Below are 13,464 nucleotides of genomic sequence, written 5' to 3' on the forward strand. Positions count from 1 at the left end.
TCTTTTGAGTATATGCCCAGTAATGGGATTGCTGGGTCAAATGGTATTTCTAGTTCTAGATCCTTGAGGAATTCACACACTGTCTTCCACAATGGTTGAAGTAAATTACACTCCCACCAATAGTGTAAAAGCATTCCTATTTTTCCACAACCTCTCCAGCATCTGTTGTTTCCTGACTTTTTAAGGACTGCCATTCTAACTGGAGTGAGATGGTATCTCATTGTGGTTTAGATTTGCATTTCTCTAATGCAGGTCTATGAGTTTCTTATTCATGGTCACTAAAAGATGTTTATCATGAATTGAAATCTCCAGATAAGAGTAAAGCAATGCCTAATTCATAGTTACGCACTTATCAATTTATTTATTCATATTATTCATTATCATTATGAATATTCAACACATTAATAAAAGAGTCACATGTGCAATCTACTTGGGGTATTGGGAGAGTAAAGAATAACATAGTGGTGCTACAGGTAATTTAAGAGATGGTTTCTCTCTCTCTCTCTCTCTCTCTATGTGTGTATATATATATATATATATATATATATATGAGACACAGGTATAATTATTTTCCTTCTACTATTTGTTGTTGATGTATACTGCCAAATCCCTAACGGATACTGGAATACTTAACTCTAAGCTCCCCCCACGCCTACAAAAGAAGTGGGTACAAGGTTAGTTTTTAAATCAAAAGATTTATTAATAGTATTTTTATCATGTCCAATTGATATTATCATTATCAAAAAGTTTAATCACTTATTATTACTTGAAGGACCTCGTTAGGAAATATTCGATCCCCTTTTTTTGGTTTTTTTTTTTTTTGAGACAGAGTCTCATTCTGTCACCCAGGCTGGAGTGCAGTGAGGTGATCTCGGCTCACTGCAAGCTCTGCCTCCCAGGTTCACGCCATTCTCCTGCCTCAGCCTCCCGAGTAGCTGGGACTACAGGCGCCCGCCACCACGCCCGGCTAATTTTTTGTATTTTTAGTAGAGACGGGGTTTCACCGTGTTAGCCAGGATGGTCTCGATCTCCTGACCTCGTGATCTGCCCGCCTCGGACTCCCAAAGTGCTGGGATTACGGGCGTGAGCCACCGCGCCTGGCCTGTTCCACTTCTTAAAACTGGTCACTGGAAGTACATCGTCTTGGGAAGAACTGGATATTTCTTGAAACCCCTTTCATATAGCCATATTCTCAAACATAGAACCTTCTTTTATTTTTTTCAAAGATTTTTTTCCATTACTGTAGAAAATTCAGAGGGTGTTTATGGATAGTGCAGTACTCCGCTCAAATACAGGGAACGAAAGTTACATTAAAATGATAATATTTTTTGCTGAAAAGTATTATGATATTTAATGTAAGCAAACAAATGACTCAGGTGATAGTGTTTTGTTTTCATTTTTTAAATGCCTTGGCCGGGCGCGGTGGCTCAAGCGTGTAATCCCAGCACTTTGGGAGGCCAAGGCGGGCGGATCATGAGGTCAGGAGATCGAGACCATCCTGGCTAACACAGTGAAACCCCGTCTCTACTAAAAATACAAAAATTAGCCGGGCGTACTGGCGGGAGCCTGTAGTCCCAGCTACTCGGGAGGCTAAGGCAGGAGAATGGCGTGAACCCGGGAGGCGGAGCTTGCAGTGAGCCGAGATTGCGCCACTGCACTCCAGCCTGGGCGACAGAGCCAGACTCCGTCTCAAAAAAATAAATAAATAAAAATAAATAAATAAATAAATGTCTTACTTCAATAGCTTTTGGAGCACAAGTGGTTTAGGTAACATGGATAATTTGTATAGTGGTGAAGTCTGAGATTTTATTGCACCTGTCACCTGAGTAGTGTACATTGTACCAAACATGTAGCTTTTTTATTCCACACCCACCTGCCAACTTCCCCCTTATGAATCTCCAGAGCCCATTATATCACTCAGTGGAGAGTCTTCAACATTCAGGGTGGAATCTTCAGGGTGTGGCCCTTTATCCATTGCTTTCCAACGTTTGTACTCTCTGCTTTGTGAATAGAGGCCTGTTCTCCCTGTCTGCCTTGTTCACGTACCTTTGCCGTTTTCCTTGCTGGGATGACATCCTTTGCCCTGAAGTTCTCATTAACCATACCATAGATGTCCTCTTCTTACCTCAATACATCCAAGGCTACCTCAAGTTATAACTTCTCCTTTAGTTTTTCCCTAGTGTCTGAGTTCAAATGGGCTTCTCTATATCCAGAATATCTACCACCTGTCTTATCTTTCCTCACACGTGGCACGTGCAGTTCCTTCCATCTACTTTCATAATGTTGTATTTTAACGGTTCAGTTGTGTTTATATTACACTCTTCTGTCAGGCAAACAAGGGTATTTATATGGCTGAAATCTACGGTATTTTTTAAATGTAGTAAAATGTAATGAATAAGCATACAAATGAATGAGTTAATTAATCTGTTATATTCTTGGTTAAGTAATGAGCATTATGAGGACAAAAATTGAGTCTTACACCTTCTTATAATCCTAAAGACCTAGTACAGGACTTGGAATATAGCATTCACTTAAGACATCTTTGTGACTAATGAATTTAAATATTTTTATTAATTCTAAGTTGACGTATGATTGTAATTTGGGGAAGGTAGTGAAATTTCAAATGGCTTTCACCACCTGTGAAATGACCCTTTTTACCTACCACATGATTTACCAGATCTTTGTTTAGGTGAACCTAGGCGAAAGCAGATTGTTTCCTCTACTTAGGAAATACTTCGCACATTTTCGTTGCTTATAAATTTGATGATTTTAATTTGTACAGTTATAATTTATGATATTGACTTGTACAGTTATATATATTTTACATATAATATATATTATATATTATATATAGTTATACTATATATAATTTTATTTTCTAAAGTAAAGAATATCATTACACATTAACAAAATAGATATAACTGTTTTCTTTCTACTATTTGTTACTGGTGTATACTGCAAATCCCTAATGGATACTGAAATTCTTATCTCTAAGCCCCTCTATGACTATGAAAAGAAATGGGTTCAAGTTTATTTTAAAAATCAAAGAGTGTATTAATAATATTATTGTGATCATGTCCAATTGATACTATCATTATTAAAAAGTTTAATCACTTATTTCTTGAAGGACCTAATTAGGAAATATATATGTGTGTGTATATCTATATTCTATCTATATATATCCTATATCTATATTCCATATATATTCTGTATCTATATTCTATATCTGTATTCTACATATATTCTATATATAGTCTATCTATATTCTATCTATATCCTATATATAGACTATCTATATCCTATATATAGTCTATATATATTCTATCTATATCCTATATATAGTCTATATATATTCTATCTATATCCTATATATAGTCTATATATATTCTATCGATATCCTGTATATAGTCTATATATTTTCTATCTATATCCTATATATAGTCTATATACTCTATATATCTTATATAGTCTATATATATTCTATATATATCCTATATAGTCTATGTATATTCTATATATATCCTATATAGTCTATGTATATTCTATATATATCCTATATAGTCTATGTATATTCTATATATATCCTATATAGTCTATGTATATTCTATATATATCCTATATAGTCTATGTATATTCTATATATATCCTATATAGTCTATGTATATTCTATATATATCCTATATAGTCTATGTATATTCTATATATATCCTATGTAGTCTATGTATATTCTATATATATCCTATGTAGTCTATGTATATTCTATATATATCCTATGTAGTCTATGTATATTCTATATATATCCTATGTAGTCTATGTATATTCTATATATATCCTATGTAGTCTATGTATATTCTATATATATCCTATATAGTCTATGTATATTCTATATATATCCTATATAGTCTATGTATATTCTATATATATCCTATATAGTCTATGTATATTCTATATATATCCTATATAGTCTATGTATATTCTATATATATCCTATATAGTCTATGTATATTCTATATAGTCTATATATATTCTATATGTGTATCCTATATATATTCTCTATACATATTCTATATATATATACACACACACACACACACATGTATAGTAGCCTGATATTTAAAAAATAAGATTGGGACTGCGTAAAATAAGCTCACCCAGACAATAGGGGTACAGACATATGTATAATTCAGCAAGAACTGGTAACAAAGTGAGATATGTCAACTCTTTGTAGCATATTGTTAAGTAGTATTAAAAAACAAGTAATTTTTGGTTGGGTCCATTGAGAGAATAACATTATTTTTAGAATGATCTAATGGCACAATAAGCATTTTAGCATTTTACCTGCAAAAGCATTATAGCTGTGCCAGTTTCTGTTCCAAGAAAAAAATACATTGGTGTATTCTCTAAAGGAGGAAATTCTGACCTCAACTATGTTCAGATAGCTGTGGCAGATAATACTCTGATCAGGTACTAAGTCATATATCTTTCACATTTCCCTTTGCTAGTTATACTCAGCATGTGGTTGGAAATGGAATCAAAGCCCAGTCTGGAAATCCTGAAGTCAAAGTCAAAGGAACTGATCCTGTGATAAATCAGATTATTGATAAACTGAAGCATGTTATTCAGGTAAGTCCTGATCCTATATTTTTTGGTATAGCCAATAATAAATAATAAGTGGTCACTTTCTGTTATACTTGATAAATTTGTTAACCCTATCAGGTAATCCTGCCTAAAATATTGTAACACATTATTTGTATCAGGACTTTTGGGAATATTTAGTTTAATGATTTTTGTATGCAGTCAATATGCAGTGGTATTTTAATGTTGGACAATCTGTATATGTGAAAAGCAAGCCTCAGCCTCAGCATTTCAATAATGAGAATCTCAGGACATGCATTGTCTTCAGTGAATAAGTTTGAACGTGGGAATCACTGTGACCATTAAAGAAAACACATAGAAGACCATAGAAGATGCCAGAGTTTTCTTTCAGGTAATTCTCTGAATGTTGCTATGAAGGTTTTTGCAGCATTTCAATACAAATTAGGTCATAGATGAATAATATGTACTTCTAATATTTATTTCCTATATCACCTTTTATATGTTATCTTATAATCTACCTAATGGTTGTTTATGAAATACTTCTGTTTTATCTTCAATAATATTTTTCATCAAGTGAGTGTGTATTGCTGTTTTTAATACATGACAAATGAAGCATGAACATATTTATCAAAATAATATTTCATTGAAATAGTCTATTAATTAGAACCAAACATGATGTTGCATGTTGTAAATATTACTCTGCATTCTGCATCTATTGATGTTTGGGGAAAGAAAGGCTATTTTTTTTTTTAGTTAATAGTCATTTTATAAAAATTTATATTTGAATATACTTTCATTTTTCCTAAGCAGAACTTTGCGTGGCTAGTTGATGCTTATTTCTAGTATCGTGCATCAGAAACAATACCTAAATAGTACAGAGTTTTTATTGCATACAACATATTCCAGAGTCAGTAGTAGGCTTCTCATAATTGTTCTGCAAAGACAAAGCTTAAGTTTATGCAGAGCCAATTCCTGGGTTTCCATTTTTCACGAGTCCCTATCTCTCAAGGAGAGGATATGTAAGAAGGACTTGGGGGTTGGTGTCCAATACCATAGACTTCTCCCTTCTGTGAGGCAACAATGCTTATTCTACCATTGATACCTATAGAAAACAGCTCTCACCCTGGCTGGCAAAACCAAAAATAAATTCTATTGGAAAAGTCTAAGAGAAAAGTGGTATCATGACTACTGATGAGTTAAACCTTCCAGCCTCTGCTGAGCTGGTCCAGTTGGTACCTCACAGTATCGTCCACTGTAGTATAATATGTACAGCTAGATTATTTGAAAATTCGACCGCATAATTGATAATAAAACCAAAAGAGCTTTAATATTAATGTTCTCTCATTGAGGAGTGAGTACAATCTCACTGTGAGGACACAGTGAAATCTTAGGGGTTTCTTAAGTGGGGTAAGCATTCCACAGAGGATGGAGGAAGAAAAACTAGAACTTAAATATATATTTATTCCGTCTCATTCTTTTATATTTCTTTGGTTGTAGTAAGGTATATAAAATATGTAATGTATTAGTGCAATAGCATATACATATAATTTATAAATACATAAATATACATATTAACTGGACATTTGTTCAGATTGTTTTTCTAAGATATATACATGATGAAAGCAGAACAGAAACCCTGTTACAGATAATAAGGATAGAGCTGTTCCATGAGAAGTGCAGTTATAAGAAAACACATTCACAGAGGAACACATAGATACCCAAGATAGAAAGGATTATAAAAACCCTTAGGAGGAGGGCTCATATATTTATTACCCATTCAGCAACCCCCCTCCCCATTTCTTGTTTTGTAGGTTTCAAAGCCTTTTCAAGGTGGCAGAGGGAAGTCATCCTGCCTTTCTTTTTTAGCTTCTGTGTGAACTTGAGTCCCATTCTTTATTCTTTATAGGAGTGTGCAGATCTCCAATTATTCATGCTTAAGTTTCATTCTGGGGTTGCAAGAGAATATCAAATGCAGTGCTACCTTTGAGGTCTATCATTTTAAGATCTGCTAGATTTATATGATAGAAATGTAGAAAGGACAGCAGAAAGTCATAACTTGCACAGGTGTCACTGAAAATTTACCTTTAATATCTAAGAATATGCTCTTTCATGAACTGCTCTCCTGGAGATGAAGAGAAGTGTTTTACTTTGCCAATTTTTTTTTTTTTTTTTTTTTTTTTTGAGACAGAGTTTCCCTCTTGTTGCCCAGGCTGGAGTGCAATGGCGCAATCTCGGCTCGCTGCAACCTCCGCCTCCCGGATTCAAGAGATTCTCCTGCCTCAGCCTCCAGAGCAGCTGGGATTACAGGCACGTGCCACCACAGCCCGGCTAATTTTTTTTGTATTTTTAGTAGAGACAGGGTTTCTCCATGTTGCTCAGGCTGGTCTCGAACTCCCGACCTCAGATGATCCACCTGCCTCGGCCTCCCAAAGTGCCGATTACAGGCGTGAGCCACGGCGCCCGGCCTACTTTGCCAAACTTTTGACTACTGATGGTGTACGCGTGCCCTGGCAGGGATGGCCATTGTGCTGTCAGTATCAAGGGATGGCTAACAGCACCCACCACAATGTCAGCTATGAAAGGATTCAGAAAATAGCCTTCTGTAAGTCAGAATTTATTAATTAAGGAGTAGGGCCATGGAAGATGTCAACATAGGAATAGGTTTCAGATTCTAAACTGTAGATTTAGATGATCACTTCTTAGTGTTTGTATAAAATTTACTTTATTTTTTATTATAACATGAAGTTCGCTTTCCACCTTTATACTATGAAAAATGCCGTGTCTCACAATAGGGACATACCTGTGTTAAAGTATATGGAAGTAAATCAGCCACAATAGCAAACATTGCCTGCATGGACTCACCCAAAAATGCCTTTCTCGGCCTGCCATTGATCTGAACCTCATTTCTACCTTGCATTGTCTGCAATTAGAGTCACTAAGGAAGTAGATAAAGATTTTTACTTGGAAAATGTCACTTTTTAATGTTTTAATAATTAATTCGTTCAAGATACTCAACAAATGCTCACTGAGTTTCTAGTACGGTCCTGGTTCTGTACAGGCACTGAGGTTAAAGTTGTGAATAAAGCAGACACAACCCTGCTCTCATGGGCTTTCCATTGTAAGAAAAAAGTAAATAAACAAACCAATGAAACCAGTATTGTAGCTGACACATGTTATGCACAAAACCAAACAAGGTGAGGTAAGGAAAGATATTTAAGAAGAGTGTGCTGGTGAAGGCCACTCAGGGGCAGATGTTTGGGTTGATGCTGAATAAGGAGAAGAAAGGAGTCATGGGAAAACCTGTGAGAACTGTGTCTGGGGCAGAAGGCAAAGTAGGTGTAAAGGCCCTGTGGCAGGAATAAGTTTATTTTATTCAGAGAACAGAAGGCCAGGTGGCTAAAACAGAGTGAGTTAAAGGGAGGAGATAAACATACATCATGTTTTGGGGAGTCCAGTAGGCTCTGGTAAAGAGTTTATATTTTCTCCTAAATAGACTAAGAAGTCATTTTAAAACTGTAAGCAGAAACTAGCTGCGCGCAGTGGCTCATGCCTGTAATCTCAGCACTTTGGGAGGCTGAGGTGGGTGGATCACCTTAAGTCAGGAGTTTGAGACCAGCCTGGCCAACATGGTGAAACCCCATCTCTTCTAAAAATACAAAAATTAGCTGAGCACGGTGGAGCGTGCCTGTAATGCCAGCTACTGAGGAGGCTGAGGAAGGAGAATCGCTTGAACCCAGGAGTCGGAGCCTGCAGTGAGCCAAGATCGCGCCACTGCACTCCAGCCTGGATGACAGAGCAAGACTCCTTCTCAAAATAAATAAATAAATAAAAATACATCACAAATTTAATAAATAAATAAATAACTGTAAGCAGAAGCTGATACAATTTAATACATGTTTTATGAGGACTTCACTATGAAAACTGGACCCTGCGTACAAGAATGGAAAAAAGAAAGTAACACAGACAGAAGGCCACATAATTGGAGCTAGAATAATAAGAGTGGATAAGCTGAGAAGTGCATAGATTTAGACAAATATTGGAAGCGGGGTTTTTGGGATTTGTTAATGGATTGGAAATTTGGGAGACGGAAGAAAGATGATAGCGAGGTTTGGTGGGATGATAGTGTCACTAAGTGAGAAAAGGAATTCTGAGAGAGGAGCAGGCCTGGCGGAGGGTCCCTGGGATTGATTAGAAATCAGTGGTTTTGTTAACTGTGAGATGCTTGTTAGATGCCCAAGAGGGATGTGCAGAACTCAGGGAGACCACACAACTGGAGGTGTATGTTTGTAAGCATCAGCACGTGGATAGTATTTAAGCCCTGAGATTGTATAAGGTTGTCACCTTTCCTTTAGAGTATAAATTCACACCAAAACTATTGGTGGAGATGATAGGACAAGGGAATCATACAAAAAAAATTGTACTGCAAAAAGCTATGAATGAATAAAACATTTTATTAAATGTATTTGGCACCTTGTATATACCTAGTTGATCTAGGACAGAGAAGATACTTAGTAACATTCATTTTTTCTTACTGTAAGAATAATGACCCAGGAGGCGGAGGCTGCAGTGAGCTGAGATCAGGCCACTGCACTCTAGCTCTAGCAGACAGAGTGAGACTCCGTCTCAAAAAAAAAAAAAAAAAAGAATAATGAATGCTCATCAGAGGGAATTGAATTTTATTATTCTAGGAAATCTGATGGAAAAAGTGAAAAATAAATATTGATACCATTTATAAAACAATGAAAAGACTTATAAGAGAAGCCATCTAGGCTTTTCTCTATACTTAATTATACATATAAATACATCAGTACTTTACTTCAAAAAATAAGATCATAGGGTACATTTGATTTTATGATCTGAACTGCTCACCTGACCACACAAAACAAATACTTTACCATGACATTAAATAGTCTGCTCTCTGGTTGTTAGTGCTGGCATACTATTCTATCATATGGAAAAATTACAGTTTTCCTTCACCCAGTCACCGAAAGTTGGATATTTAGGATGCGACCAGTTTTTCATGATAATAAAGACTAATAGGAATAGCAGTAGACATAAGATGTTTTTGGCATCTTTTTTTTCTTGTAATACGTTCTACATATTGAAACTAATAATTGTATTTTGCTACATATTGCCACGTTTTTCTCAAGGAAAATTATAGCTAACAGAAAGTGTCAGCTTTCTCTGTGTGTTAAGGGTGTGGGTGGAAGCTCGGCAGTGACGCTGAGACATATTGGTATGGAACATCATTGGACTCTCTAGAGATCAAGGTAGCAGTCCTGTAGAAATGTTAGCCCGAGCTGTGTGTCACCTGGGAGTACTCCAAGGACGGCCAAAAGAAATATTTTAGTTAGAAGACAATTTATAAGAAAAGTTTAGAGGCTTCCTAGAGAGGTCATAGCATACACAATTTTATTTCATCCTTTAGGGCAAGCCGTATATATATGTTCTGCGCACATCTCCTCCTGCACCCTCCTCAAAAAAAAAAAAAAAAAAAAAAAAAAAAAGCTGAGATCTGATGTAAATAGATAGCTGTGAATTATAGCTTGGTCCTTAAGGAATATCTCAGAAACTTCAATGTTCCTTCACCCCCTCCGCAAACCCTTCTGAATTGAGAATGGGAACCTTGGCAACAGAGGGGAGTCATGCACCTCCCTTTTCCATCTGTGACTCTGACATCTTCCTCCAGGTCAGCCATGGTGCAAACTCTCACAGTTACTTTCTGGCAGTTTCCTGCATTCCAAACCTGTTTCTGAAATGGGCAATATTTGTCCCCTTGAAAATCACCTGTGATAAATGTGGTATAGCCCACGGCCAGTGAAAATTTTCCTACAGGGAGACATATTCCTAAGTGTTAACATTAACTTTTTCAGATGTTTGAGTCAGACTCAATTGCCCTTTCATATTATAGATTGAAAACAACACTTGGTTGATGTTAGTATATCTGATTGAGGAAATATGAGAGCCTTTTTAATTTAGATTTGCTCGCCTAGAAAACTCACTTTGAAACTTCTTGGTCATGTTATGTTTGCTTATGGCAAAGTTATCAGCAAAAAAGTCACTGTTATGCAGCAATTTATCTTTAAACACTAAATGACATCTATCATTTTTCAAAGAAAATAGTGTCAGCAGTTAAAATCCTAACTGCTTGAGCACTGTTAGTTGACAATTATAATGCCCCATTGCTTAGAAATTAATTGACCTACTTTCAATAAGAAACATAAAAAGTAATATCACAGCAATTTTCTGGATCTATTTTATTCCAAAACCAATAAATGTTACAGTGTTGTTAAAAGTAATAGATTTAAAAACATTTTATTTTCTTAAACTTAACAATTCAAATAACATAAAATAATATTACGTTTCTATTAAGTATTCATTTTTATACAGACCAAAAGTTCTTTAGAAAATGTCTTCATGTATAATATAAATTTGATTTTTAGATGTGAGAAAAGCAACAATCATAATCGTTGCCTAAATCCACAAAATAAGTAGATATTCTATAATATGTATTTCAGTAATCACAATGTATTGGATTCAGGCAGAGATGAGAGACACTCTGATTTTAGCAGAAAAAGACTGTGTTAAATTACCTCTTTGCCTTTTCTCACTCTGTTCCTAGGATAGCAATATAATAAATAGTAACTTTAGAACTGGGATACACTGAGAAAATGTCCTAATTTAAATCTCAATAGATGATTACACAGGTAGTGTTTACACACACACACACACACACACACACACACACAATGACAGGAGTTTTTAAAGATATTAGTATCTCGGAATTTTTGAATTCTGAAAACTGTCCAAGCTTTTATCATTAAATCACTTGTTATGAAACCCATTTTAGAAACACGCTTTCCTATTTTTAATAGCCTATGATAGTCATACAGAATGAGTTAATCAAAATTGATTGGTCAATTGCTAATTGCAAATTCTTTGACCGTAGCATGTCAGCTGATTCTATGAACTTCTACAGACTCTTTCCCTTGGTCCGGGAATTGCCACAACACTCTGACTCCTTTCCCCACAACTCCATTACATGATATTGTCACCTCCCCAGGCTTACGATACTAATATTCCAGAGAGACGAACAGTCCTTGATTTTGAATAGCAATGCAGTAGTGACCAAAACAGATTTAGTTTTGGTTCAGAAGAAAGTGCTGGATATGCCCTCAGTAACTTTCCATGGTCATCTAATTCAGCAATTAGTTTGAGTAAATTCAATGGAAGGCTGCTTTCTGGAATGGGTAGTGTAATGTACTGACTTCCCTATTAGACATTTCATTTAAAAAAATCAATTGTCCGCATAAAACAACCATTTCAATCAGTGTACATTCAACTGGAAAGGAAAGTTAGAGGACTTTTTTTGAAAGTAATGGGATTGGGGTTGGCCGTTGCTAATTTCTTTTTGATTAAAGCGTATGTAATTGTTTTGTGTTGGATAAAAATTTGACTTTTTATTTGCGCGGATGCTGCTGATCTTATATGTTATCATTTCCCATTCAGACTTGAGCTGTTTACCTGCCGGGTTTTCTGTTCATAAAATGTTGAAAGGACGTTAAAATGTAGAACTTTTACATTTTTTATTTAGGTGACTAGGACAAATTCTGGTAATTTGTAGGCTACAACTTAAATGTATTTCTGCTTAAAATATTTTGAAATATGGTTTATTTCACAAATGAGGTTCCAAACTATAACCAGCTCTCACTAAATTCTTATTTATTTATTTATTTATTTATTTATTTTGAGACGGAGTCTTTCTCTGTCACCCAGGCTGGAGGGCAGTGGCCGGATCTCGGCTCACCGCAAGCTCCGCCTCCCGGGTTCACGCCATCCTCCTGCCCCAGCCTCCTGAGTAGCTGGGACTACAGGCGCCCGCCACCACGCCCAGCTCATTTTTTGTATTTTTAGTAGAGACGGGGTTTCCCCGTGTTAGCCAGGATGGTCTGGATCTCCTGACCTCGTGATCCGCCCGCCTCGGCCTCCCAAAGTGCTGGGATTACAGGCGTGAGCCACCTCGCCCAGCCAAAAGATCATTTTTAAATTATGTATCTGGGAATATATTATCAAACCAGGCCTGAAACTTATTAAAAAGATGGTAAAATCTAATTTAACTTCATTTAATACTCCTTTTCTCTTAGTCTTATAAAAGCAAATGAGCTTGTTGGCTTTTAATTATGAAAATATAATTTTAATTTATAAGACATATGTAACAAAGCAAGATAGCTGCTAAATTCACTCTATCCTAGTAACTTCCTATTGCATACATTCATTTTTAATGTAATAAGAAAATCCTTTCAAAATGCTTAAAAGAATCACATTACCCAAGAAGAGGCTCAACATTTCTAGAAAATAAATATGTTCTTAAGACACTTAATAATTCTTGAAATGAAGACCTAATTCTTCAGGGCTTTAAAATATTTGATGTGCACTCTTTACATATATAGAGAGTTTAAATTTAATAATTTCCCTTCTTAAAAAAGAAGTGAAACATACCACAAACATATCAAAGCAAGTTATTCATACTTCTCATTTAAGTAACTGTATTGTCATAGCAAAATTATTTTATATCATCAAACAGCACAAAAGCCTTATTAGAATACTAATTTCAATGTCTGTTTCACAGATTTGCTCAGAATAGATTTTTTCATGCTTCTGCACTAATTCATTGAAGGACAATGTTTTACCGATTCCTGAAAAAATATCATTATCTGCCCCATAGTGGTGGCTCATGCCTGTAATCCTAACACTTTGGGAGGCCGAGGCTGGCAGATTGCTTGAGCCCAGGAGTTCAAGACCAGCCTGGGCAACATGGTGAAAACTCATCTCTACCAAAAAAAAAAAAAAAAAAGTAAAAAGTTAGCC

The sequence above is a fragment of the Homo sapiens genome, chromosome 15 (genome assembly GCF_000001405.40).
Source record: "Homo sapiens chromosome 15, GRCh38.p14 Primary Assembly".
Taxonomy (NCBI): domain Eukaryota; kingdom Metazoa; phylum Chordata; class Mammalia; order Primates; family Hominidae; genus Homo; species Homo sapiens.